At 53.7% G+C, this 25,437-nt stretch overlaps 3 protein-coding genes, 1 long non-coding RNA gene and 1 pseudogene across 5 annotated transcripts in view, besides 11 other annotated features; 2 read left to right on the top strand and 3 right to left on the bottom strand.

The window, feature by feature from the left end:
- The window catches only part of DNAJC17 (DnaJ heat shock protein family (Hsp40) member C17), a 42,313-nt gene extending 26,697 nt beyond the window's left edge, over positions 1-15,616 (top strand). The window contains exons 2-11 of one of the 2 annotated variants that reach the window (NM_018163.3): positions 780-849; positions 1,174-1,232; positions 1,467-1,554; positions 4,150-4,235; positions 4,485-4,581; positions 5,181-5,224; positions 5,669-5,746; positions 6,341-6,421; positions 6,940-7,050; positions 12,715-15,616. In NM_018163.3, the coding sequence (NP_060633.1) occupies positions 780-849; positions 1,174-1,232; positions 1,467-1,554; positions 4,150-4,235; positions 4,485-4,581; positions 5,181-5,224; positions 5,669-5,746; positions 6,341-6,421; positions 6,940-7,050; positions 12,715-12,837 (837 nt within the window). In that variant the 3' untranslated portion in view covers positions 12,838-15,616. Of the gene's footprint in view, positions 1-779; positions 850-1,173; positions 1,233-1,466; positions 1,555-4,149; positions 4,236-4,484; positions 4,582-5,180; positions 5,225-5,668; positions 5,810-6,340; positions 6,422-6,939; positions 7,051-12,714 lie in introns of those variants that run through there. The other variant, XM_047432788.1, reaches the window with a different exon arrangement.
- On the bottom strand, positions 8,328-10,797 carry C15orf62 (chromosome 15 open reading frame 62). The gene has a single exon (NM_001130448.3). The coding sequence runs from the start codon at positions 10,279-10,281 to the stop codon at positions 9,754-9,756; it is 528 nt and encodes a 175-aa protein (NP_001123920.1). The 5' UTR covers positions 10,282-10,797; the 3' UTR covers positions 8,328-9,753.
- Positions 9,664-10,280: an enhancer, noted in NCBI's record as "H3K4me1 hESC enhancer chr15:41062695-41063311 (GRCh37/hg19 assembly coordinates)". NCBI's record gives its function as "activates a minimal SCP1, AML or CMV promoter by ChIP-STARR-seq in naive H9 embryonic stem cells {active_cell/tissue: H9 hESC(naive)}" and the evidence as "EXISTENCE:reporter gene assay evidence [ECO:0000049][PMID:30033119]".
- Positions 10,238-10,327: an enhancer, noted in NCBI's record as "active region_9262". NCBI's record gives its function as "activates an Ori minimal core promoter by ATAC-STARR-seq in GM12878 lymphoblastoid cells {active_cell/tissue: GM12878}" and the evidence as "EXISTENCE:reporter gene assay evidence [ECO:0000049][PMID:35858748]".
- Positions 10,238-10,899: a biological region, named in NCBI's record as "H3K4me1 hESC enhancer GRCh37_chr15:41062076-41062694".
- Positions 10,281-10,899: an enhancer, noted in NCBI's record as "H3K4me1 hESC enhancer chr15:41062076-41062694 (GRCh37/hg19 assembly coordinates)". NCBI's record gives its function as "activates a minimal SCP1, AML or CMV promoter by ChIP-STARR-seq in naive H9 embryonic stem cells {active_cell/tissue: H9 hESC(naive)}" and the evidence as "EXISTENCE:reporter gene assay evidence [ECO:0000049][PMID:30033119]".
- Positions 11,518-12,136: an enhancer, noted in NCBI's record as "H3K4me1 hESC enhancer chr15:41060839-41061457 (GRCh37/hg19 assembly coordinates)". NCBI's record gives its function as "activates a minimal SCP1, AML or CMV promoter by ChIP-STARR-seq in naive H9 embryonic stem cells {active_cell/tissue: H9 hESC(naive)}" and the evidence as "EXISTENCE:reporter gene assay evidence [ECO:0000049][PMID:30033119]".
- GCHFR (GTP cyclohydrolase I feedback regulator) lies at positions 13,069-16,709 on the bottom strand. Its single transcript, NM_005258.3, has 3 exons — positions 16,561-16,709; positions 14,856-14,950; positions 13,069-13,551 (listed from the first exon to the last, which is right to left on the bottom strand). Exons 1-3 carry the CDS (start codon positions 16,594-16,596, stop codon positions 13,428-13,430), a joined length of 255 nt encoding a protein of 84 aa, NP_005249.1. The 5' UTR covers positions 16,597-16,709; the 3' UTR covers positions 13,069-13,427.
- Positions 14,597-15,386: an enhancer, noted in NCBI's record as "NANOG-H3K27ac-H3K4me1 hESC enhancer chr15:41057589-41058378 (GRCh37/hg19 assembly coordinates)". NCBI's record gives its function as "activates a minimal SCP1, AML or CMV promoter by ChIP-STARR-seq in primed H9 embryonic stem cells {active_cell/tissue: H9 hESC(primed)}" and the evidence as "EXISTENCE:reporter gene assay evidence [ECO:0000049][PMID:30033119]".
- Positions 16,164-17,029: an enhancer, noted in NCBI's record as "H3K27ac-H3K4me1 hESC enhancer chr15:41055946-41056811 (GRCh37/hg19 assembly coordinates)". NCBI's record gives its function as "activates a minimal SCP1, AML or CMV promoter by ChIP-STARR-seq in primed H9 embryonic stem cells {active_cell/tissue: H9 hESC(primed)}" and the evidence as "EXISTENCE:reporter gene assay evidence [ECO:0000049][PMID:30033119]".
- Positions 16,164-17,145: a biological region, named in NCBI's record as "H3K27ac-H3K4me1 hESC enhancer GRCh37_chr15:41055946-41056811".
- Positions 16,696-17,145: a silencer, noted in NCBI's record as "silent region_6341". NCBI's record gives its function as "represses an Ori minimal core promoter by ATAC-STARR-seq in GM12878 lymphoblastoid cells {active_cell/tissue: GM12878}" and the evidence as "EXISTENCE:reporter gene assay evidence [ECO:0000049][PMID:35858748]".
- On the top strand, positions 19,509-20,303 carry LOC124903474 (uncharacterized). The gene is made up of 2 exons (XR_007064599.1): positions 19,509-19,970; positions 20,051-20,303. It is a non-coding gene; the product is annotated as an uncharacterized LOC124903474 (long non-coding RNA).
- SUMO2P15 (SUMO2 pseudogene 15) lies at positions 19,903-20,180 on the bottom strand (annotated as a pseudogene).
- Positions 25,063-25,172: an enhancer, noted in NCBI's record as "active region_9261". NCBI's record gives its function as "activates an Ori minimal core promoter by ATAC-STARR-seq in GM12878 lymphoblastoid cells {active_cell/tissue: GM12878}" and the evidence as "EXISTENCE:reporter gene assay evidence [ECO:0000049][PMID:35858748]".
- Positions 25,263-25,382: an enhancer, noted in NCBI's record as "active region_9260". NCBI's record gives its function as "activates an Ori minimal core promoter by ATAC-STARR-seq in GM12878 lymphoblastoid cells {active_cell/tissue: GM12878}" and the evidence as "EXISTENCE:reporter gene assay evidence [ECO:0000049][PMID:35858748]".

The following is a 25,437-nucleotide window of genomic DNA, read 5'->3' as shown; positions in this document are numbered from 1 at the left end:
AGTGGTGCGATTTCGGCTCACTGCAACCTCCGCCTCCTCGGTTCAAGCGATTCTCCTGCCTCAGCCTCCCAAGTAGCTGGGATTACAGCTGCCCGCCACTATGCCTAGCTAATTTTTGTATATTTAGTAGAGATGGAGTTTCACTATGTTAGTGAGGCTGGTCTCAAACTCCTGACCTCAGGTGATCTGTCCACCTCAGCCTCCCAAAGTGCTGGGATGACAGGCGTGAGCCACCGCACCGGCCAATCATAATCTTTTAAATGAGTCTCCCCGTTGATGGGGATCTTGGCTGGCTAGTATCAACAGTGTTGTAGAGAGCATCCTTGTATATTTATTTTTGCCATACTTCTACAAGTCCAGATTCCTAGGACTTGGGTCAAAGGGAAAGAACATTTTAAATTTTGATGGCTGAATTTTCTTCCAGATAGGTTGCCCCAGTTTATATGCCCACCAAGAATGTGTAGAGTACCTGTCTTCGAGTGGCTGTCGAGAAAGCGGGGTACTGTGCTCCTGCCTGTTGCAGCAGCCCCTGGACATCTGCAGTGGTGAGGTTGAGCACTTAGCAGGAGGTGGGCCCAGCTCCTGTGCTGGGCGACAGTGGCTCACTCCCTCCATGGCCTTGGCCTCCTCCATTGCCAGTCTCCCTGGTGGCTAGGAAGTGGGCGCCAGCAGCTTCTCTTTTAGGTGTGCATGGGATTCCCCTTACCCATTGAGCAAGGTTTTCCTGTTTGTCCCTGGGATGAGAGTGAATGGCCATGTCTTCTGTCTGACTCTTCCAGGTAAAGAAGGCGTATAGGCAGAAGGCCCTCTCCTGCCACCCAGACAAAAATCCAGATAATCCCAGAGCAGGTGAGACTCTTCTCAGGGCGTGGGGAGAAAGAAACCCACTCACCCGGGCATTGTGTTTCCCGATGTAAGCTCTGCATGTGAGTGCTGTGGGGTGTAAGCACACATTGCCTGGCTCCAGGCAATGGGTCCCAGGGCTTCCCTCCTGTGAGGGGTGTCTGGTCAGTTGCTGATATGCTCACCCCTCCTTGTTGGTCTGTCATCTGCTGATGTCGGCTTGTCTGCCATCCTGTGACTTCTTTGAAGATTTTTTTTTTTTTTGAGGGAGCACACCATTACGAAGTCTTAACTTTATTTTTCTTCTGTCTTTTTGATCCTTATGTTTAGCTGAACTCTTCCACCAGCTTTCTCAGGCCTTGGAGGTGCTGACCGATGCTGCAGCCAGGGTAAGCACAGCCTCCTTCATCGGAATCGTCCCCCATGGTTAGAGACCACTGCTGCCTCTCAACCTCGGTCCTCTGCCCTTTGCCATGTGGCACAGTCCTTGCTGTCTAAGCCCAGGAGACCCAGTCACCAGGCTGCCACTCTGATGGCTCGTGGGCTAGGGGCCAGGCAGATTGCCGGGGCTCTGTCTTTACTCTCTCACTGACCCTCTGCCCTGTGCCCCTTTCTCCTGCCAGGCTGCATATGACAAGGTCAGGAAAGCCAAGAAGCAAGCAGCAGAGAGGACCCAGAAACTTGATGAGAAAAGGAAGAAAGTGAAGCTTGGTAGGTGCCATCATAGTGCTCGGTGGCCTGTGGTTTCCTGTGGTCATTTTCATTCATCTCCCTCACCTGAAGCTTCACTTCCAGCAACTCATCTCAAAGCCTTTTGGCTCAGGCTCTGGGCAAAACGCTGTTCTTAGAGGTTGGTTCCTAAAGACACTCTTAGGAATAATAACAATAATAAGGTTTAATATTAGCTAAGCATTGTGACAAATGCCTTATTGTCCCTTTAATTATCATAACTATACAAGGAAGTGTGGGTACTAAACCTTTTTTAAGAACATGGTTTTTTGAGACAGGGTCTCACCCTGTCACCTAGGCTGGAGCGCAGTGGCATGATCTCGGCTCACTGCAACCCCCACCCTCTGGGTTCAGGCGATTCTTGTGCCTCAGCCTCACGATAGTGGGACTACAGGCATGCACCACTACGCCCGGCTAATTTTGTTCCGTTTTTTTAGAGATGGAGTTTCACCATGTTGGCCAGGCTGGTCTTAAACTCCTGGCCTCAAGCTATCCACCTCAGTCTCCCAAAGTGCTGGTATTACAGCTGGTGAGCTGCCGCACCTGGCCTCTGAAGCCATTTTTTATAGGCAAAGGAGCTAAGGCACCAAAAGTTTAAGAGCTTGCTGGAGGTGGGATTTAAACTTATCCAGTGTGAGTAAAATTGGTGCTTGTGGCCGGGCGCGGTGGCTCACGCCTGTAATCCCAGCACTTTGGGAGGCCGAGGCGGGTGGATCACGACGTCAGGAGTTCGAGACCAGCCTGGCCAAGATGGTGAAACCCCTTCTCTACTAAAAATACAAAAATTAGCTGGGTGTGGTGGCGGGTGCCTGTAATCCCAACTACTCGAGAAGTTGAGGCAGAGAATTGCTTGAACCCGGGAGGCAGAGGTTGCAGTGAGCTGAGATCACGCTGCTGTGCTCTAGCCTGGGTGACAGAGCAAAACTCCATCTCAAAAAACAAAACAAAACAAAAAAATTGGTGCTTGTATTCACCATTTCTGGCTGAGTCTTCTTCTTCTTTTTTTTTTTTTTAAAGAAAGACGGGGTTTTGTACTGTCACCCAGGCTAGGGTGGCACCATCATGGCTCACTGCAGCCTCAAACTCCTGGGCTCAAGCAGTCCTTCTGCCTTGGCCTCCTGAGTAGCTGGGACTACAGGTGCGAGCCGCTGTGCCCGGCTGGGTCTTTTAATTTGTTCTAACCCCAATTCCTACCCAGACTTTTCACTTTGAGAAGCTCCCTCAGAAGGATTCAAAGAGGTCCAGGCTTTCTCTTCTCTAATAGCTTTATTGAGGTATTCTTTGTATATCACAACATCAACCCATTTCAAGTGTACACTTCAATGATTTTTCGTAAATTTACTAAATGATGCAACTCTGACTATAAATCAGATTTGGAACATTTTCATCAACCCAATAAGATTGCTGCAAGCATTTTTTTTTTCTCACTTAAAAAAAAGTCACTGGTTATAGCAGCATGGTCCAAGCACTCTTTTTTTTTTTTTCTTAAACGGAGTTTCGCTCTTGTTGCCCAGGCTGGAGTGCAGTGGCACGATCTCGGCTCACTTCAACCTCTGCCTCCTGGGTTCAAGCGATTCTCCTGCCTCAGCCTCCCGAGTAGCTGGGACTAAGTTGCGCACCACCACACCCGGCTAATTTTTGTATTTTTAGTAGAGACGGAGTTTTGCCACATTGGCCAGGCTGGTCTCGAACTCCTGACCTCAGGTGATCCACCCCTCTTGGCCTCCCAAAGTGCTGGGATTACAGGCGTGAGCCACCGCGCCTGGCCCAGTCCAAGCATTCTTTACTCAAGTTTCTCCTTTTCCTCTTGCTCTTCAACATCCATATATTTTAATATGTGCATATAGCATCCCAATATCTATTTCTATATTAAAAGAAAAGCAAGTGCCAGGAGACCCCATCTCAAAAAAAAAAAAAAAAAAAGAGAGAGAGAGAAAAGGAGAGTCTAAGTAAGTAAAGTGCACAAACTTCTCTGGACTAAGAGAAGGGTTTCTCACAGCAGCTGGCCTGGCACATGGTTGCAAGCAGGTTTCTCTTGGAAGGTAACGCCCTCACACAATCCAGGACCCGGGGTGATGCCCTAACACTCTGCCCATCCCTGTAGCCAGGTCCACAGTGAGGCTTGGTAAATGTGAGTTGAGGTGGGAGGTAAAGGAGACAGTGAGAACCTGAGCTCAGTGTGTGAAAAGAATCAAAGCCAAAGCAAGTCAAGCTGTGGTGCCAAACCACAGGAATCGAGCCCAGCAGCTCCGCCCATTGGCACCCCTGACACATGGCCCTGGGCTGCTGACATAAGCACCACCCACACCCTGTTCACTAGAGAGAACCAGCTTGGTCAGTGTGAGCTGTTTTTAACTCTTCCAGACCCCTGGCCACTCTGCTAGACCCCATACTTCTGTGCTGTGATTTTTCTCAATGGAAATTGACTCGGGGGCGTGGGCATGGAGGGAGGGGGCAGAGTTACTGTATGATCTCGTCGTGATTGAGACTTTGGGGAGGCAGCCAGAGCTGGGGTGGGCCGAGGCCACATGGAAACTGAACAGACCAGCAGTCTGGTCATTCAACCCTTGTGTCTAGACCTGGAGGCCCGGGAGCGGCAGGCCCAGGCCCAGGAGAGTGAGGAGGAAGAGGAGAGCCGGAGCACCAGGACACTAGAGCAAGAGGTGAGCACTCAGGCACACTGGCCAGAAGGCCACCTGCAGGAGGAGGAGGTGGGGGAGGATGGACCTGGTGGTCGCCGTGGCTAGAGAGGGCATGCTCTTTGCACCTTCAGTGGGAGCTGGGTGATTTGTCCCACCCACAGGTTGCTGAGCCCTAGCTTGCAGGTGGAAGCTCCCAAGGACTTTTTACAAGGTGAGCCAGCCTGGAATTGGACCTGCACAGAATTGTCACCCCCACCCCCTGCTCTGCAGATCGAACGCCTGAGAGAAGAGGGTTCCCGGCAGCTGGAGGAACAGCAGAGGCTCATCCGGGAGCAGATACGCCAGGAGCGTGACCAGAGGTTGAGAGGTGCAGGTCTATCACCCCGCCTATCTCCCCTCCAAGGTAGCTCCAGATTGCTCAGAGCGGCCACACTGGCTGTTCGGTGGAGCTGCTGTGGAGGCTTCTACCTGCTGGAACCCTGGGGTCACCCTATGGTACCTTACTCTGACACATGCCACTTATCCCGTCTTCCTCCCAGTTCTCTGGGGCCTATTTGCTTTTTACTCTGCCTGAGATCTCCTGGCCACATTTGGCTTTGTCCCAAGCAGAGGTGGCCTTGTTTTGGGACAGATCACCACGGGGAGGGGCCCTGGGACACTTTGTGCCCGTAGAACCTCATGGTCTGTCTCTCTGCCTCCTGTCCCTAGAAAGTGTTCCTAGCTCTCCATTCAGAGAGTGCTGACAAGTGGCCTTCAGGAGGCAGCTGGGTAGACCACCCCTGGGGTGGCAGCTTCTCTGGGGATGGGCATCTGCTTTCCCCACCAGGCCCTCACCAGAGCTGGGCAGGCATTGCCCTTGGTCAGGAGTGACCCTTTCCAGACCCTTCTTGCTCTGGGCTGCATTTCCTTTGGGAGAATCTCTGACTCCCTCATATTCTACTTTTCTTCTTTTCCCAATATTTCTAGGAAAGGCAGAAAATACTGAAGGCCAAGGAACCCCCAAACTAAAGGTGAGCCTGGGCAGGATCTGTGGGCCACCTCACACTCACACCGCCTCCCCTCAGCAGGAATAGATGCTTCCTGTGGCTCGAGGGTTTCTGGTGGGGCTGCTGGATCTGCGTGGAGCCCGCACCATTACCACCTCCCTCCATGCTCCAGCCGCCCGGAGATCAGAGCTTGCCACGAAAGGCTGCTTTTAGCCCTGATCACAGGGCAGAGGATTCTCTAGAAGCCCTCTCAGGAGAGGGTCTTCTGGGCGGGAAGCGTCCCTGGGGTGAGCAGGCCATCCTGCCTTCAAGTTCCCAAGGGGAAAATGTTTCTGGTGGCACTCCCCAGATTGCAGGAGCCTTGGAGGCTTGGAGGGTGGGAGGATGTCTGCTCAGACTGTCAAGCTCAGTCGTGGGGTGAGGTACTGTTCAGCCAAGAATCAGTGTTTCATGAGGCTCTCTTTTCAGCTAAAATGGAAGTGCAAGAAGGAGGATGAGTCAAAAGGTGGCTACTCCAAAGACGTCCTCCTACGGCTTTTGCAGAAGGTCGGCCCTGTTGACGTCCACTCTTTCCTATCATCTCAGTCCACGTCTCAGTCCACACCCTAGGTCTCTGCTCTCAATGCCTGAACTTCCCTTAACATATCTACTTGCTTTTTTTTTCTGTCTCATAGACCATGGGACGTCTTAGAGACTTCTCCCCAGGCTACAGCCTTGCTTTCACTTGTGTGGCCATGTGCCCCCTTCCAGCCCGCTGTCCTTTGCTACCTCGGTCTAACCCTTACCCTTAGAAGCAAAGAGCTTGGTTGAGTGGGTTGGGAGGGACGAGGTGCGTATCTGGCACGAAAGCCCCGTCCTTTTCACCACGTTCAACTAGCAAGGACGCTATGCAATGAAATGTGTCAGTCTAAGTCACCAGGGCTTTGCTCATCATTCCTTTGCTGCTCTGTGTTCCTAGAAAAAAATTTCTTTCTTTCCTATCTCTGATCTCACTTCACTAAGATAAGTAGGTGGGGCAAGAAGTTATCTCCCAACTGAAAATGCCCCATGGGCCTCAAGGTAGCCCAGGCTTGTCTCTGGCATGACCTGGGCCATCCTGAAGGCCAAGTCATGCTTATTAGGACCCCTTTGTCCCCACAGTATGGTGAGGTTCTCAACCTGGTGCTTTCCAGTAAGAAGCCAGGCACTGCTGTGGTGGAGTTTGCAACCGTCAAGGCAGCGGTGAGTGCTGCATGAGGCTTGGGGGCCCCTCGTGGCCCTGTCATTCTAGGGCAGGGACCCAATTCTGTGGGCCCTCTGAGTTAGGTGGTCTGCACTCCTAGGGAATCTCCAGGCCAGCTTAGAGCCAAGGCTCTTCCCAGGGGCCCCTGACTCCTGGAAATAGAGGCACCGTGTGTGAAGGGATGGATGGGGGGTGCTCTGGGGAGAAAGGAGAGCACAGACTTGACTCTGCTCCCTGCTGGTGCCTTCACACCCTCCACCTGCACCCCTTGGGGCTGTGAGCCCCAGCACTGCCTTCCCACCCTTTGTGCTCCTCGCCTCCCCACATCAGAAAGCTCCCCCAACCCCTCTCCCGCAGGAAAGGCCAAAGCGTTAACACCCATCACTTGAAGGCTGCTGAGGTTGGCATCTCTGCTTAGAGGGCTAGAACGCTGGTTCCGTTCTCTCTGTGGGGGTAGAGAGAGCCTCTTTATAGCTGACTCAACGGATGGGACAGGACTAGATGCTGTGTTTGGCAGGAGCTGGCTGTCCAGAATGAAGTTGGCCTGGTGGATAACCCTCTGAAGATTTCCTGGTTGGAGGGACAGCCCCAGGATGCCGTGGGCCGCAGCCACTCAGGACTGTCAAAGGTGAGGAGTCAGGCCTCGCCCGGCTGGGCGCTCAGGTCTCGGAGCTCTTCCTACCTGGGCTCCTCTCAGGCTCTTTCCTTCCAAATTCAGATCTTGGGGCCTAGAGTGAGCTTGGCAGGTCCACCAACCCAGGCAAGAGGGGCTGTGATTTCACGTTGAACCCTTTTCCTCTCTGAGGGCCAGAGAGGCCCCACCCACACTGTATTCTTAGACCTTGCTTTCTCTCCATATCTGGCCTCCTGTTGGGACTCTCCTTCTCACCAAAGGGATCTTCCTGGCCCTCAGGTTGCTTGGTTGTGGTGTGTGAAGCATTTGGAGCTTAGACGACCCAGTGCTGCAGAGAAGGGGCAGGTGACTAGGACAGCCACTTCCTTCCCAGCACTTCAGTTTTCTGGATGTGTCTCTGGCTGCCCCAGAAAGGGACCGACTGTCAAGAGGCAATATCTCCTCTTGAAGTAACCCTGGCAGGCTGGGCGCAGTGGCTCATGCCGTTAATCCCAGCACTTTGGGAGGCCGAGGGGGGCGGATCACCTGAGGTCAGGAGTTGAAGACTAGCCTGACCAACATAGTGAAATCCCGTCTCTACAAAAACACAAAAATCAGCTGGGCATGATGGTGCGCACCTGTAATCCCAGCTACTCAGGAGGCTGAGGCAGGAGAATCGCTTGAACCAGGGAGGCAGAGGTTGCAGTGAGCCGAGATCGTGCCATTGCACTCTAGCCTGGGCAACAGAGCAAGACTTCATCTCAAAAAAAAAAAAAAAAAAAGAAGGAACTCTGGCTACCCTGCTGACACGGGGTGGTGCCTGCCCAGAGTCTGGGTGCCCTGCCTGGGTGAAGCGTAGACCTTCCAGCTTGTGTGTAACCCCCAACCTGCAACCATGGCCCTGGTGTCTTTTGGCCTGGATACAAAGGCTAGGGCTGTGGGGCTCCTGGCCACACCTGTCCCCACCTTGGTGGAACAGATTGCTTTGGGGGCAAGATCTAGCAACCTGGTTCTTCCCTTCTCTGCAGTGGCCCAGGGCCTGTCTGGTGTGTCCACAGCCCCTCAGCAGGCTGGCAGGAGGCTGCTCTCATTACTTTACCCACGCCAGCCTGCTCCGTTGCCTGCCCCTCCACTTGACTGGGGTGACTGGAAAGCAGCTTTCTGCAAGTGTGTCCCAGATCCTGGATGGAGGGAAACAAACTGGCCTGGGCCTGACTCAGGGCCCTGCTTTAGAGACCTCATTCCCACCTTCAAGTCCCAGCATTTCACAGCCCCAGATAACACTCCATAGATTGTGTTAGAATTTTATTCATTCTCTCCTGTATCCACAGCTCGGTACCTATACACAAGAGGAGGAAAGAGGGAGGCCACTGATTTAGGTCGTAGAAATGGTGTGTGTCAGAGCTTCCCTCTCCCCTTTGCTACTCTTAGCGAGTCCCGGGGGGCCACCAACACATGGCCCAGCCAGTGCTGCTGGGCTCTGGTTTCTGTGTTCTGGTGAGGCCATGGGGTGGGGCCGTAGCACAGCCTGTGGCTTTGACCCAGTGGGCTTGGCCTGGTTGGCAGGCCCATCGTCGGAGGGTTCAGGCGGCAGAACTGTCTAATCCCGGGAGACGGTTCTGGAAACCAGCTGTGCCGCTTCGCTGTTGAATGCCCATCCCTGGATCCAGTTCTCCTCTCTTCGAGGAAGGAAACCTGCCAGGGCTCCCATCACTAGTAATTCTGGGAATTCCCCAAAGTACCCCTTTGCAAGCCGTGCGCGTGCCTGTGGCTGGCATTCTCTAGAGCTGCCTTCCTTCACCAGGGATTGCTCCGGGTAGCTGTGTTGGCAGACTGAGCCACGTCCTCATTTCTGCTAAGGATTTGCCTGGTCTTTTTCCTGAGTTATACTCTATCTCTACCTATCTCTTCCTATGTGGCCAGCCCCTGTATGCGCCTCCCCTTTGCTGGTGGCTCCAGGCCATGGTCTAGACAGCGCTGTCCATTAGAACTTTGTGCAGCGATGTTTACGTCCATTCTGCACTGACCAGTGTGGTAGCCATTAATCATGTGTGGCCACCGGGCATTTGGAATGTGGAATCTGGAATAACGGTGCAGCTGAGGAACTGAACTGTTAATTTTATTTATTTCAATTCAGTGTCATGCAGTGAGTGGCCACCAGATTAGACAGGGTCAGGCCTTCTCCCCTTTCTTCCTGGGCCTTCCCACTTTCCTCTTCTGCCTGGGTTGGACTGCCTTTACCCAAGCTTGTCCTGTGACCTCTCTCTGTTGACAGTGGCTTCCAAAGAGGCTGGCATGGGGCACTCATCTCTTCTGCTCAGTCTGTGTCCTCCCACTCCCTGATCTGACCCCGTGCCACCTTCTGGCTCTGCCAGCCTCTACCTGGTTCCTGTAGTGCCGCACAGAGCCTCCCTTTCCCGGCACAGCCTCCCTTTCCCGGCATAGCCAGCTTTCTTCAGGGTCCTGCCAGGAAGGGCCGCCCCCCCAACATTTCCAGATTGCCTCTGTCCCTCCACTCTGGGGTGCCTGGAAGGACTGTCCAGGACCCAGAGAGCAGGCAGAGCCCTGGATTCCTATCCTGGAATCCTCCCCCAGGATGAAGAAGCTCTGCCTGCCTGAACCCTCCAGCGATGGGCCTGGAGTCCTGTCCCTGTCCTTTCCTTAATCCCCAGCCTCTGGATCTTCCAGTCACCCCGGCTTTGCCCACCCTCACCCCATTTAGAAGCTGGGCTCGCTAGGAAACTGCTCCCTTAGCATCTGCAGAACTTCCTCAAGAAGTGAAATCCCCAGGTCCACTTTGAAGGAGAGGAAGGGATCACTGAGGTCTGGGGTAGGTGTCCTCTGGAAGCAGGGAGTGTCCACAAGGCCCTTCTCTGAGTGCTGGTGGAGGGCACTCGACAGAGAGAGCGCCGATGGCAGGGTGGCAGAGTAGGCTGCTGTGTAGGCAGGTGGGGGCTCCAGGATGTTGGGGCAGCTTGAGCTCTCTCGGTAGAGGCGTGGGGGCTTGGGTGGGGCCAGCAGGGTGGCCCGGGGCTGCTCGTCCCCCCACAGTGGCAGGCGCCGGCCATCTGGCCTCCCTTGTAGCTCCCGGATGACTTCTCGGTTGCTGTACTCCTCGTGGTCCCCACCTGCTGTGCTGGCCTGGCTAAGCACACTACTCTGTCGCCGGAGCCGCCGTGGCCGCCCCAGGCTCAGCTGCTTGAAGAAGGAGGCGTTGCGGAAGGAGCCTTTCCGCCAGGTCTCCATGGGGCCCAGGGGAGCCAGCAGACAGGTGTTCAGGAGCAGCCAGGGTGCATGTGGTCCCTGCTGGGGCAGTGAGTGCCAGCAGCTGGGGAGGCTCCCCTAGGAGCAGAGGCCTCAGGGTTTCCACTCAGCACAGACCTTTGACCACATCTTGGATGGTGAGAGGAGGGCTCAGGAAGAAGGAACTTTTTTGCCCAGGAGAGCAGACAGCTGGGAGTTCCTGGCAGCAAGAGTTTCCCACAGGGACAGGAGTGGCCTGGTTACTGAATAGGGTAGTGGAAAAAAACCCAGGAGGAAGAAGCAGCACTTACTGGAGCCAGAATGAGGGCAGCTCCGGCGGAGGCAGAGGTGGACCTTCTCGGGCTGGGTGAGGCTGGCGAGCGCTCCTTCCACAGGCAGGCAGCAGATGGCCCGAGCTCACTCGCCCTGGTGTTTGCCTGGCTCCTATATGTCTCTGGGGCAGTGTGGGGCCGTGCCCTCTCTGCCAGTGGCTCCCGGACTCTGATGAGTGGCCTGGCTGTTTGTGGCGGTGGAGATGTGTTTTTGTTCTCAGCTGACTCAGTCAGGTGGGAAGCCAGGTTTCGTGCTCTTGGGTAATTGCAGCATCCGCGTGCAGGGATGGGGCAGCTGGGACCAACACCCCAGGGCAATGGGGAGCTTAAGATTCCTCTGGGGACTCGTGTGGGGGCAGCCCTGCTTTATGTGTCACCACGCGGCTTCCTTTCTGATCACAGCCCCACCACCCTGGGCCCCCAGCAGGTGCGCCTGGCTCCCTGCCCACAGTGTCTGGGTAGGAAGAGTTCGGGGCGGGTGGGAGTTAATTGAAAGGCAGGCGTGTGGAACGATTGTTGGGGAAGGAAGAGACCTGTAGCTGGTATGGGTGACTCAGCCCCGCTGTCAGGCCCTCACGAGCAGGAACAGGAAGGGGGGCAGAGGGTGTGTTAATGGGGAGCAGCGCCATGCCTGTGATGGGCGGGCTCTGCTGCCCAGGGTTGGGCTGGGGGCCCGCCAAGGGTGGCTCCAAGTTTTCTTGGCAGAGCAGCATTAACCTGGGGATGGGAGATGTGGCCTCCTCTTGGCCTGCCATCAGCCTGGCTGCTATTTCCTTGTCCTCCCTTGTTTTACCCTAGAGGGCTCCTGCCAGGAGAGCGGCTGCTGAAGGCCGGGCCGTGTTGCCTCCTACCTGGCTGTGCTCCAGCCCTTCCCCTCTGGCTACCGGGCTTCCTCTGGGGTCCTCCTTCTCTTGCAGGAGGCTGGGCCAGGGAGGCTGCCGTGAATTGTCAGCCGTGCTCTGGGCCAGGCTTAGCAGTCCGGCCTAGCTGGGACTGCTGCAGCCGGGGAGAGGGGAGGGGTGCAGCCATCGGGAGGAACAGGGGAACCCAGGCTGAGTAACACTTCCTGTTTCTCTACACCCCTTACTCCAAACCTGCTGGCCAGGGCCTGGCATCTCAACCCTAGCTGCTCCCTTCCTATTCCCCGGGTCACTGACCACCACATTTTCCTCCTGCCTTGCTCTGTGACAGCGTCCCCATGCGGGGTACCGCGGATCAGGGCCCCACAGCTCTCTGCTACGGGCAGGCCACCGCATCTTGCAATCCCTGGCCTAGCTCACTTCTGTGCCAACTCAGGTGTGCTTCACACTTCTCTGAGAAGCTGTTGGGACCACATGATCATCACACAGCCTAAGCGGCACCGAGGGAGGAAAAGGTTTAATTCCCACCGCAGACCTTATCAGGGCGTGGGTTGGCAGCTTAGGTCCCGCTGTAGAGCTGCTTCTCCACCCTACAGCCTTGGCCCATTCAGATGGTTGTTTATTATTCTTTTGATTATGGGCCCTGCCCTCCAGGAGCCCTGGTGTGTAGTTTTAGAGGCACGCTGGCCTCATGCTTGCCTTTTTCCCCTTCGAGGGTGGGGCATTCCGGGCTGCCTCGGGTAGGGCTCCCTTCTGCATCCTCAGCAAGAGCCAGACCACAGGGCACCGGGCATAGAGAGTGCCAGGGTCAGTGCCCAGCAGAGCCAAGTGCATCCCTGCTCCTCAGACAACTTCCCTTCCTTGGGAACCTAAGAGGCAGAAGCTACGGGGTAGAGGGAAAGGGGTGAAGGGTAAAGGGCCCAGAGGAAATGAAGGGAGACGAGGGCCTGGCTTAGAGGGCCCGCAGGTGATTCCTGAGAAACAGATGGACCGGAGCTGACGCGGCCTGGGGAAAGGGAGGGGGAGCTGGCTGGGTAGAAGCCGGCCTGGAGGCCAAAGGTGGCGTGTTCTGGGGGACACAGGCGAGCCAGGATTCCAAAAGGATGCTCCGGGTTCCTTCCCTTCCTCTGCCGTCCTCCCTCCGAGACTCTTAGAACGCAGCACTGCCTCGGCACCGTACTCGGAGTCTGTGAGGCTGTGCCCTGCTGTCCCTGACCCCTCCCTGTCCCTGCCCTGTCCGACAGGGCTCAGTGCTGTCAGAGAGGGACTACGAGAGCCTCGTCATGATGCGCATGCGCCAGGCGGCCGAGCGGCAACAGCTGATCGCACGGATGCAGCAGGAAGACCAGGAGGGGCCGCCTACGTAGCCCCAGCTCCAGCCATCCACCCCTCAGCCCTTTTCTTCAACGTCACCAATAAATTTTTTTTTTTTTTAAGATTTTACCTCTATCCCATACATAGGTATAAGGTGCTGGGCTCTGCCGCAGAGCGCTCCACCCAGGCCTGGCGCCCCTCCCAGGAAGTGGGCAGACCCCCAGGGAAACGCTCCGCAGGGTGAGAGTCCCAGAGTCCGTGCACAAGCAGAGCACAGGCGCAGCCACTCATCACAGCCCTTTATTGGCTTGGGCTAGCTATGCAGGAGCCACGCGCCAGGGCCGCTGGAGTGCCCAGCTCCGGCCCGGGGCAGCTGCCCGAGGAACATGGCCTACACAAGGCCCTCGGCCCAGGCCCGAAGCAGGAGGGCAGCTGGGAGCACCAGGGCACCGGGCACTGCCCTCTCCCACTGCTTGACGCAGGGTTTCAGAGAAGGCCATTCACTGCCCTTTGGGGCTGGGCCCATGGCGGTGATGATTTGGGAAGAGAGGAGCAAGGCAGACGGTGAGGCAGGAGCTTGGAGGTCAGGGCCCACAGCAGCCCCTCCACAGGGGTGCCCCGTCTGCAAATCAGCATGAGAAGGTCACTCCTTGTGCAGACACCACACCAGCGTCTGGCCCACCCCCGTCATGCTCAGCACACGGAAGCCCCTGCGTTCCAGCTTGTCCAGGACTATGCGGGGAGGGTCATCGACGTAGTATTCATAACTGCAAAGAGACAGGATGGGGGGGGTGAGGAGGGGCACACAGCAAGCTCCTGGTACAAAGCTAGTGTCTGCAGCAGGCAGCCTGGCCACTCTTGTAGTGACTCACACTTGCTGGCTGCTTGCTGGGCGCTGGGGTAAGTGCACGCCCCCTGCCTCCTCCCCTTCTAGGTACTTCACGAGCTATCTCATTTATTCTTCCCAACAAGCTAGTGAAGGTGCCACTGTTGTGGCCATTGATAGATGAGAAAACAGAGGGGTTAATCAGGTTCCCCAGCGTCCCAGATGGTAGACCATGTTAGTCTGACCACAGCCCTGCTGCCGCCCTCCCTGGGCTTGCTCCCCACCCAGGCTTCCAGGTAGGAGGAGGCTGAGGCTGCAGTGAGCCATGATTGCACCACCGCACTCCAGCCTGGGCGACAGAGACTCCATTTCAAAAAAAAATAAGCCTCCAGGCCCCTCACTGCCCTGGCTGTCCTGCAGTTCTGTAGCAACAAGGCTGAGCCCCAGTAGCTCCTGGCTCTGTGCGCCACTCCCTAGCATGGAGAGTGCTGGTAGTCCTTCTGTCAGGTTTAATTGATGCTGAAAGACCATGAAGCAGACAAAGGGCTCAAGCCCCAAGCTGGGCATGGAGAGGCAAGTGCCTCATGGCAAAGGGAGGGGGCTGGCTTCTGTCCCCGAGCCTTGACCCAGGGGCTGGGATCAGCCCTCCTCTTTCCCCGATTTGAACTGGCACTCACTCTGACAACTCTTTTCAGAGAGCCTGTGTAGCTTGGGTTCTCCCTGCCTCCAGGGGTGAGAGGAGGAATGGAAGCAGTAGTCACAGTTTAGACATGGAGGCATTAGGAAGAATGCCAAGGGAAATGGCTAGGTCCCCAGGCAGCAGCCACCCTGGAGGTAGGACGCAGGCTCCCTGCTCCCTGCTTCTAGGGCTTAGCTTTGCGACTCATGCAGATCCTCACGACAAAAACCTTTCTCTCTGTGCCTGTCTGTCCTTGATGGGGTCCAGCTTAGGAGAGGGCAGGGCAAGGAACAGTCTGCTAGTGGAGTCCTAGACCCAGGGAACGGACTCTGTTTCTGCGGTTCCAGTAAGGATGTGGAAAGCTTTCAGAGCAAGCCTCGTGGGGGAGAGGGGGGATGTTGGAGAGGCTACAGATGGGACCAACTCCTCCGGAGAACAGAGCCCCAGGATGCAGGCAGGGGGCTCTGATGCTGGGCCCTGTCCCTGGGCTTGGAGGTTGTATAAAGGGAGCAGAGGCAGGTCTAGGGGCTGGCAGGGAGAGGATACTGAGGGAGGCTGCTACTTACAAGTTGTTTCCCAAGGCTCTTCTCTTTGAAGCCCCCAGATGCTGCATCAGCTCTGGATCCGACTGTTCATCGCCCACCATAGTGGGGCCCACCTCCTGCAAGGTAAGCCACAGTGGCTGCTTGGCTGGCTGCCAGGAGGAGGTGGAAGGTCTTGCCTGTCCTTCCTCCCCTGCCTGCTAGCCCTGAGTAAGGTTCAGGTAAAGGCTACAGAGAGTAGCAAGGATTCTTAGGGGCTGAGCACAAGCTGTGAAGGGGTGGAGCCCATCAATGATCAGGAGGAGCAATGTAGGCGCCCTCCCTAGTGCCTTAAAGCTCAGCTTTAGCCAGGCAAAGTATCACGAGCCTATAGTTCCAGCTACTGAGGCTGAGGTGGGAGGATCGCTTGAGGTGGGAGGAGTTTGAGGCTGCAGTGAGCCATGATTGCACCACTGCACTCCAGCCTGGGTGACAGAGTGAGACTCCATTTCAAAAAAACAAAACAAAATAAACATGTAAATGAAAGAAGCCAGACTCAGATCACATTACCACAGAAAGGTAATTAGTGGTTATCTAGGGCTGAGGGACTTGGGGGAAATCAAGAGTGTCTGCCAGTGGGTACAGGGTTTCCTTTTGGGGTATTAGAAATGTTCTAAAACTGATTATGGTGATGGTTGCACAACTCTGAGTACACTAAAGAAACAACAACACTGAATTGTACACTTTAAATCAAAGAATTTATGGTATGCACATTACATATCAATAAAGCCATATCTTTTAAGAAATAAGAATCACTTTGGGGGGCCATTTCCAAGTATGGGTTCCCAAGCCCCAGACAGAGTTTTAGGAGGTCTGGGAAGGGACCCAGGAATCCACATTTTGGCAGCTGAGCAGATGGCTGCTTCACAAACCGCTGCCCAGGGCTCTGCAAGAGCTCTCTGTTGCGTGGTGAACCCACCAAGGGGGTTGTGTACCCTTTGCTGGTTCACCCCAGCACTGGGCAGTGAGCAAGGGCAGAGAGCACCTTGCTGCCCGTCATGTCTTTCTGAAGCTAAAAGGGGACTCCTGAGGGGCAATCAGAACCTTTTTACAGATAAGGAAACTGCGCCCAGAGAAAGGAACGTGACTTCTAACTCATGGTGTTCCCACCTCTAACTGCACAGCCCCTTCTCGCCTTCCTTTTTTCCAAGCAGGGTGTTCTTTCTTTTCTTCCTTCCCTAAAGCTTCAGGGATAGCCCTTCCTGGAAGTGCCTAAGGGTGCAGCTAGTTGCTGTTTATGGGTCAAGGACTTGGCACCGGGGTTTTAGCGCCTTGGCAGGTCCTTATCTTTTCCAAACCTCTTTCTCTCAGGTTATTCGCCCTTTTTTCCCCTGCGGAGCGGCTCTGTGCAGGGCACTAGGTGCTGCGCGTGAGGCCAGGGCTCCCTGGGTCTCTCCCGCCGACAGGTAGGACAGGAGCCGGAAGCGCCCGGAGGTCGCCCTGTTGCCGGGACGCACGTACCCGGGCCCCTTCGCGGCAATAAAGGCTTCAGGCCGGCCAGAGCTCGCTGAGTCCCGGAAGCCGAGCTGAGCCCGCTTCTCCACTCCCTCTCCCCGGCCAAGGGGGCGTGTCTGGGCGGGTTCCCGGTCCAGTCCCCGGTGGGTGCAGCCCAGGAGGGAGGCATGAAGGTGCAGTCGCAGCCCCCTAGGGCCTGGTCCCGGCTCCAAGTCGCCAGGCGGCCGGTACTCACCATGCGGATCTGGGTGCTGATGAGCAGGTAGGGCATGGTGCACGCGTCCCGGCCTGGCTCCCACCGGGGGCTCTAGGCTGGACGCCGACTCCAGCCCTTCTCGCGTCGGGACTGCGACGCGCAGCTGGGAGTCCCGTTACTCCGGCTCTGGCCACAGGCGGCGTCAATCCCGGGGCACCTTGCCCGTGACCGCCGTGGCCGCCAATCAGGAGCGGCTGCCGTGACGCGCCCTGCAGTCGGCGGTTCGGGGCCCGCCCCCGCCCTCCCGGCGGCGGACTTGGACCCCGGGGCCCACCTGAGGCTTCCGCCGAGTGATCCAGTTGCGGGAAGGTGGAGTGCGGGGAGGAGGGGGCGGTCCCACGACCTGGAAGGACACTATCCTGAAGCTCCAGCGTCCTCCAGGACGCTTAGTGCTGTTTTCTTTGCAGCCTGTGATCTTACTGCGTCCCCGCGCGCGTGTTGCCCCCGCGCCCGCTTCTTGAACACTTCAGGCCAGGTTCCAAAGTCCCCTGCCAGGCAGAGCCCAGAGCAAACGGCGTCCTCACGGAGGCCTCTCCAGGCCCCAGCCCACCCCTCTCAGAGACGCCTCGACAGCTTCAACGGGGCCCCACTTCCCCTCGCCAAGACATGCGCTCCAGAGATTCCTTAAGCGCTGAGGAGGCCGGGGCACGAGGCTCGGAGCTAGCCCTGAAGGCGACAACTAAAATACCACCCAGGGCGCACTGTGCATTCCCCCTCCCAGACTCTAATTCCAGCACAGAGGCGGATCCTTGCATTTCTGTGGACCCGCAGGAAAGTCTGTAAAGGAACCGCGCGCTTGGCTGGGTGCCAGGTCTGGAGTGACTGAATGGATGGAACCTGGCCTTCCCTCCCCTGAGCTTCCCGCGCAGCTGGACAGACGCGGCGCACGCGCAGGAGGTCACTGGGCAACACCTGGGGCAAATGAAACAACTTCCCCCGCACCAGCCACCAATGAGCGGCTGCGAGTTCCCAACCGTGTGTCCACGCCCCTCATCCGCAGTTATCAAAATCTGACAACTCATCCTTCTTTATCTGCCTTGTTGTGATTGGTTTTCTTTTTTCTTTTCTTTTTTTTTTTTTTTTTTGGACATGGAGTTTCGCTCTTATTGTCCAGGCCGGAGCGCAATGGCGCGATCTCCGCTCACCGCAATCTCCGCCTCCCAGGTTCAAGCGATTATCCTGCCTCAGCCTCCTGAGTAGCTGGGATTACAGGCCTGCGCCACGACGCCCGGCTAATTTTGTATTTTTAGTAGAGACGGCGTTTCTCCATTTTGGTCAGGCTGGTGGCGAACTCCCGACCTCAGGTGATCCACCCGCCTTGGCCTCCCAAAGAGCTGGGATTACAGGCGTGAGCCACCGCATCCGGCCTGTGATTGGTTTTCTAGAAAATAAAGCAAAACAAAAACAGCCTGTAGGTAGCCTTCCCTCCCATGGGAGGGTAATAATCTTCACTTTTTAAGAGGGGCCTTTATAGGGGATGCTGCCGTTCCAACACTTTGACAGACGTGGAGAGAGCTATAAGGGAAGCAGGAAGTTGTAATCCTAAACGTTCCTTAACTGGTCTAATTTATTATTCTGTAGTTCCTACCCCTGCCCTCTTACCCACTGACCTAACAAGTTAGCCAGAGAGATAAAACACATTCATGCTTAACAAAGGATGTGTTAAAACTGACGAAAGGGCCGGGCGCGGTGGCTCACGCTGCTAATCCCAGAACTTTGGGAGGCCGAGGCGGGCGGATCACGAGGTCAGGAAATCGAGACCATCCTGGCTTAACACAGTGAAACCCCGTCTCTACTAAAAGTACAAAAAATTAGCCGGGCGTGGTGGGGGCCGCCTGTAGTTCCAGCTACTCGGGAGGCTGAGGCAGGAGAATGGCGTGAACCTGGGAGGCGGAGCTTGCAGTGAGCCGAGATTGGTTGGGCCACTGCACTCCAGCCTGGGGCAGAGCAATACTTCGTCTCAAAAAAAAAAAAAAAAAAAAAAACTAACAAAAGATTGATGCCCAGGAGCTCCTACAACTCAGTGAGAAAAAGATGAACAATGGAAAAAACAGGGGTAACTGACTTGAATAGGCCCTTCACAAAAGAGGAAATAGAAATGACCAATAAACATATAACATGATGCCTAGTATATCATTAGAAATACAGGAAATACAAATTAAAGTCAATTTTACTTTTTTTCATTTTAACCAAATTTATTTAAACCCCAAGACTTTGTAGACACAGTGGCTCACGCCTGTAATCTAAGCACTTTGGGAGGCCAAGGTGGGAGGATCGCTTGAGCCCAGAAGGTTGAGGCTGCAGTGAGCCATGATTTGGTTTATTTTTAAGTAATTTATCCCTACTTAAAGACAGATTACCCTACATGTGAAAGCTATGTACAAAAATCATCCACTGATTAGAAGGATTTTTTTAAGTTATACAATTGTCCTTGGTTTTTACAATGATAAATGAAAAACATTAAAATTCTTCAGTTGAATAAAGTATGGAAGGATTTTTATGTTGTCATTTTTTAGTTAAAACAGAGCAAAATATAACTCACTGGAATATAGAGACAAGAGCTGAGCCGGGCACGGTGGCTCATGCCTGTAATCCCAGCACTTTGGGAGGCCGAGGTGGGTGGATCACTTGAGTTCAGGAGTTCGAGACCAGCTTGGCTAACATGGTGAAACCCTGTCCTACTGAAAATACAAAAATTAGCTGGGCGTGGTGGCACACACCTGTAGTCCCAGCTACTCGGGAGGCTGAGGCAGGAGAATCGCTTGAACCAAGGAGGCAGAGGTTGCAGTGAGCTGAGATCATGCCACTGCACTTCAGCCTGGGTGACTGAGTGAGACTCTGTCTCAAAAAAAAAAAAAAGTCAGATGTGGTAGCACATGCCTGTAGTCCCGCTTGAACCTGGCAGGCGGAGGCTGCAGTGGGCCAAGATTACACCACTGCACTCCAGCCTGGGCAACAGAGCAAGACTTCATCTAAAATAAATATATGAAAAAAAGATAAGAGCTGAATGAGCATGCCAAGAATGGAGAAAGGGGGTATTTTCACAGAAGCAGTATTTTTCCCAGTCCCATCTCCACCTGATGTCAATCAGAACACACCATTGGCCATTTTACAAAAAAACAAACAAAAACACAAATGCAATACGCTGGTGCACACATACCCATTACTGTATGTACAGCAAAGGAAAGGGGAAGGTGAAAATGAAATAAAACTATACTATATTGGTCGGGATGTAGTGGAACCAAATTGCAGTTTTCTAATTGAGGATGTAATCTTGGTCTGTAAGAACAGAGGTTTGGAGTAAAGTAGTAGGTTCCTTTTTTAGTAGACACCTGTCTCCTGCAGGAAAACGTCAATTGTGTATTCATCCTCCATTACCAACTGTGCAGGTATGTCTGTTTCATTGATTGACTGCCCATCAAATCCGAATCTGATCTGCCTCATTGACAAATCCTGTTATTCACAATAGGCTCTCATCAGTTTACTAGGCAGTGTATGCCTCTTAAACTGCGCCACAGAACTATCCTGCCACACCACCTTCAAACAAATATGATCGTTGTTCTCAGTCTTAACTTCTTCCTTGAGCTTCCATGGCCATGGCAAGCACCAGAATCTCTGCAGCTGCTGCTTCACAAAGCAGGTACTGTTACCGCCCTCAAGGGAGGGTCGCTTGACCCGTCCAGTGCAGTTCTTACCAATAAAATGAAACCAGGTTCAGTAAAGCAGAGCAGAAACGTTCATTGGTCAAGAATGGAAAAGGGGAGCTTCTGCTCAAAGCACCTGCTCCCTGGACATTGGGTAAAGGGGGATCTTAAGGGTTTTTTGGGCAGATAGGTGAAGACTGGGGTAGGGATTCCTGGATGGGTTCTTCCAGGAGCAGCTGGAGTGTGTAGATTCTTTTTGCACCTGGCACTGTTTGTGCTTAGCAAGGTACATTTCTCCGCACTGAGTGGAGATTTTAGTATAGCAGTGAAGCAGTAACTCAGGTCAAGGCAGCACTGCTGAGTTCAGTTCATCTTGTGGCTGGTTCCTGGTTATTGGCACCTGGCCTTTGTTTCTGTAAGCAAGCGCAGCTGGGAGGATGGTTAATTTCACAGGTTTTGGGACTTCCTGAAAGAACTGAGGGCCAGCGCAGTGGCCCCCGCCTGTAGTCCCAGCACTTTGGGAGTCCAAGACATGCATATCACCTGAGGCTGGGAGTTAGAGACCACCCTGGCAAACATGATGAAGACCCGTCTCTACTAAAAATACAAAAATTTGGCTGTGCACAGTGACGCATGCCTGTAATCCCAGCACTTTGGGAGGCCAAAGCGGGTGGATCACTTGAGGTCAGGCGTTCAGACCAGCCTGGGCAGCTGCTCTCTGCCCAGCGAAACCCTGTCTCTATTAAAAAATACAAAAAATTAGTTGGGCCTGGTGGCGGGTGCCTGTAGTCCCAGCTACTCGGGAGGCTGAGGCAGGAGAATCGCTTGAACCTGGGAGGTGGAGATTTCAGTGAGCCAAGATCAAGCCACTACACTCCAGCCTGGGTGACAGAGCAAGACTCCGTCTGAAAAAAATAAAATAAAAATAGAAAAATTAGCCGGGCATGGTGGCGTGTGCCTGTAGTGCCAACTGTTTGGGAGGCTAAGGCACAAGAATCACTTGAACCCTGGAGGTGGAGGTTGCAGTGAGCCCAGATCACACTGGGCAACAAAGTGAGATTCCATTTCAAAAAAAAAAAAGAATTGAGGTCATGTTGCGGTAACAGTACCAGATCCAACCAAACAAGCACATAAGCAACACCAGGAGTACAGAAGACTAAATTACTTTTTTTCTTTTTTTTAAGAGACAGGGTCTTGCTCTGTCACCCAGGCTGGAGTGCAGTGGTGTGATCAAAGCTCACTGTAACCTTGAGCTCCTGGACTTGAGGCATCCTCCCACCTCACCTCCCACATGCCACCATCCCCAGTTAATTTTTTTTTTTTTAATTTTTTGTAGAGACAGTCTCACTGTGTTGCCCAGGCTGGTGTCCAACTCTTGGCCTCAAACAATCCTCCTGCCTTCGCCTCCCAAAGTACTGGGATTACAGGCATGAGCCACTGTGCCCAGCCTAAGCTACATTTTTTTTTTTAATTGAGACGGAGTCTTGCTCTGTTGCCCAGGCTGGAGTGCAGTAGTGTGATCTCGGCTCACTGCAAGCTCTGCCTCCTGGGTTCACACCATTCTCCTGCCTCAGCCTCCCGAGTAGCTGGGACTACAGGCGCCCGCCACCACGCCCGGCTAATTGTTTTGTATTTTTAGTAGACATGGGGTTTCACTATGTTAGCCAGGATGGTCTCGATCTCCTGACCTCGTGATCCATCCGCCTCGGCCTCCCAAAATGCTGGGATTACAGGCATGAGCCACCGCACCCGGCCATAAGCTACATTTTAAATCTGCAGTGAGATAGTGCTTTACAGGTTAGCAAAAAATAAAATAAATAAATAAATTTAAAATGTTAAAATCTGTAAATATCAAGTGTTGGTGAAGATGTCAACAATCCCACTACTGTTGGGCTTGCAAGTTGGTGTGAATGATACCCTGTGACGCAGCCAAACCTCTCCTAAATAAACCTCAGGAAAACTCACAGCCATCAGGATACATGTACAAGAATGTTCACAGCAGCACTGTAACCAGTAAAAAACTGGAAACAGCCCTTATATCTATCAAAATTAGACTAAAAGTTTTTGAGCTAGGTTGGGTGGTTCACACCTGTAAGTCCCAACACTCGGGGAGGCCAAGGCAGGAGGACTGCTTGAGCCCAGGATTTTGAGACCAGTCTGCGGAACACAGTGAGACTCCCATTTCTACAAAAAAGAAAGTTTCTGGCTGGGCATGGTGGCTCATGCCCGTGATCCCAGTGCTTTGGAACGCCAAGGCAGAAGGATCGCCTGAGCTCAGGAGTTTGAGACCAGTTTGGACAACATAGTGAGACTCTGTCTCTACTGAAAAATTAGCCATGCATGGCAGCACACACCAGCAGTCTCAGCTCCTCGGGAGGCTGAGGTAGGAGGATAGCTTGAGCCCAGGAGTTCAAAGCTACAGTGAGTGGTGATTGTGCCACTGCACTCCAGCCTGAATGGCAGAACAAGACCCTGTCTCAAAAAAAAAAATTATATATATATATTTCTAAAAGGGCTGGGCATGGTGGCTCATGCCTGTAATCCCAGCATTTTAGGAGGCCGAGGCAGGAGGATTGTCCGAGCCCAGGAGTTTAAGACCAGCCTGGGGAATACAGGGAGACCCTGTCTCTACAAAAAAAGTAAAAAATTAGCTGGGCATGGCGGCATGTGCCTGTAGTTCCACCCCCGGCTGAGGTGGGAGGATATTTTGAGCCTGGAAGGCAGAGGTTGCAGTGAGCTGAGATCATGGCACGCCTGGCTAATTTTTTTTTGTATTTTTAGAAGAGACAGGGTTTCCCCATGTTGGCCAGGCTGGTCTCGAACTCCTGACCTCATGATCCACCCACCTCGGCCTCCCAAAGTGCTGGGATTGCAGGCATGAGCCACCGTACCCAGCCAATTTTTGTATTTTTTAGTAGAGATGGGGTTTCACCATATTGGCCAGGCTGGTCTTGAACTCCTGACCTCGTGATCCACCTAACTAGGCCTCCTAAAGTGCTGGGATTACAGGCGGGAGCCACCGTGCCTGGCCTAGAGAAAGAATTATTTTTTAAGGCATCAAGAACCTTAAACATTATACACAAGGGTAAGGCCACCATCCCAAGGCATTTGACTTGTCACCTCTCTTGGAAGAGCCGGGGTAGATGAGGCAGATGTTCTGGGCAGAGGGCAGGACAACAGTTTGGGGTCTGGTCTGCTCTCTTCTCAGGCTGGGCTGTGGAGGGGGTGGGAAGGTGGGCAGTGCATATCTCAGGCAGCCAGGCCTTTATTACATTTGCAAAGCTAGTCTGCAGATGCAGCACAAGATAAAGAGCTCTGTCCAGAGCCACCCACCACACTGCTGATTGCCCTGGCAGACACGTGCCTGCCAGATAACATCTTTAATATCCAGGGGGAAATGAATTCCCCTGCTTGGTCTGCCCATTTGGCCTAGCCTCTCATCACAATCCGTTTATCTCACAGAGCTGCCTCCCCCCCGTAGAGAGGAGAAATTATTGTTCTGCCACTGAGTTTTCTGCCACAGCTGAGAACACACTGTCAAAGTGGCAGGGCGTGCTGTCGGTCACGCCTTCTTTTCTTCCTTCCTCCATTCAGCTTTTATGGATGCTTTTGCATTAGAGCTGTGCCAGGCACAGGGGACCTGGGATGAATCAGGAGTGAACCCCATCCTGGAAGAGTGGGCAGTCCAGTGGTGTAGACAGAGTAGAAAGCAAATAATCACAGAACAGAGTGTAATGGGTCTGGTGCGGTGGCTCACGCCTGTAATCCCAGCACTTTGGGAGACTGAGGCAAGCAGATTACTTGAGGTGAGGAGTTCGAGACCAGCCTGACCAACATGTAGAAATCCGGTATCTACTGAAAATACAAAAAGTAGCCAGGCGTGGGGGTGCAAGCCTGTAATTCCAGCTACTCCGGAGGCTGAGGCAGGAGAATTGCTTGAACCCAGGGGCGGGGGAGGAGGTTGCAGTGAGCCGAGATCGCACCACTGCATTCCAGCATGGGCGAAAAGAGCGAAACTCCGTCTAAAAAAAAAAAAAAAGTATAATGGAGGCAATAGAGCCACAGGAGCAAAGCAGGGTGAAAAGCTTAATTTCACCAAGGTGGTGATCTGGGAAGGTTTCCAGAGGAAATTTTTATTTCCTCCAAAATAAAGTGTATATATATATATATACTTTATATATATATAAATATATTTTTTGTTGTTGTTGTTTTTGTTTATTTGTTTTGAGAGGAGGCCTCACTCTGTTGCCCAAGCTGGAGTACAGTGGCGAGATCTCGGCTCACTGCAACCTCTGCCTCCTGGGTTCAAGCAATTCTCCTGCCTCAGCCTCCCGAGTAGCTGGGATTACAGGCGTGCACCACCATGCCCAGCTAATTTTTGTACTTTTAGTAGAGACGGAGTTTCGCCAGGTTGGCCTGGGTGGCCTCGATATCCTGACTTCTGTTGCCCAGAGTGATCATGGCTCACTGCAGCCTCGACGACCTGGGCTCAAGTGATCCTCCCATCTCAGCCCCCAGAGTATCTGTGACTACAGTCACGTGCCACCACGGCCGGCCTCCTGTATTCTTATATGTATACAATATCTCACAATTAAAGGGTAAATAAATATAAGATCTAGTCAAGGGTATTGGGAGGACTGGCCTAGATATTTCTTTCACTAAACTAAATTTTAACTCTTAAGAAATGTTCACAATAAAATTGTTATCATAGTCCATAAAATCGGTCTTTTTAGTTGCCACAATTATAAGAAGTTGCATACAATTACAAGAGTAAAACAGAATTATAAGACAGCACGTTAGGTTTAAGATTTATGGCCGGGTGCGGCGGCTCACGCACTTTGGGAGCCCGAGGCGGGCGGATCGCACTTTGAGAGACCAGGAGAGCGGGACCCAGTCTCTACAAAATAAAAATAAAAATAAAATGTGGGGAGAGCGTGACGTTTTCCAGGTACAGAGGGGAGGTCCAGGCAGAAGCGCAGGTAGAAAGTGTGAATATGCTGAGCGTATTCCGGGAGCAGCAAGTTAAGCCGGTGTGACCGGAGGGAAATGGAGGCCTGGCTGCCGGACGGTGAGGGTGACTGCGCGAGCGTCCGCCCAAGAAGTCTCCCTGCCTTCCCGCCTTTCCCCTGTCTTGGGCCCCTTCTTGCTTTCCTTTCGCGCTCTGTGCTGACTCCGCCCCTCCGGCGGCGCCCGTGGCCCCGCCCCTGAGGGA

The sequence above is a fragment of the Homo sapiens genome, chromosome 15 (genome assembly GCF_000001405.40).
Source record: "Homo sapiens chromosome 15, GRCh38.p14 Primary Assembly".
Classification (NCBI taxonomy): Eukaryota; Metazoa; Chordata; class Mammalia; order Primates; family Hominidae; genus Homo; species Homo sapiens.
This window is presented reverse-complemented; position numbering and strand designations above follow the sequence as displayed.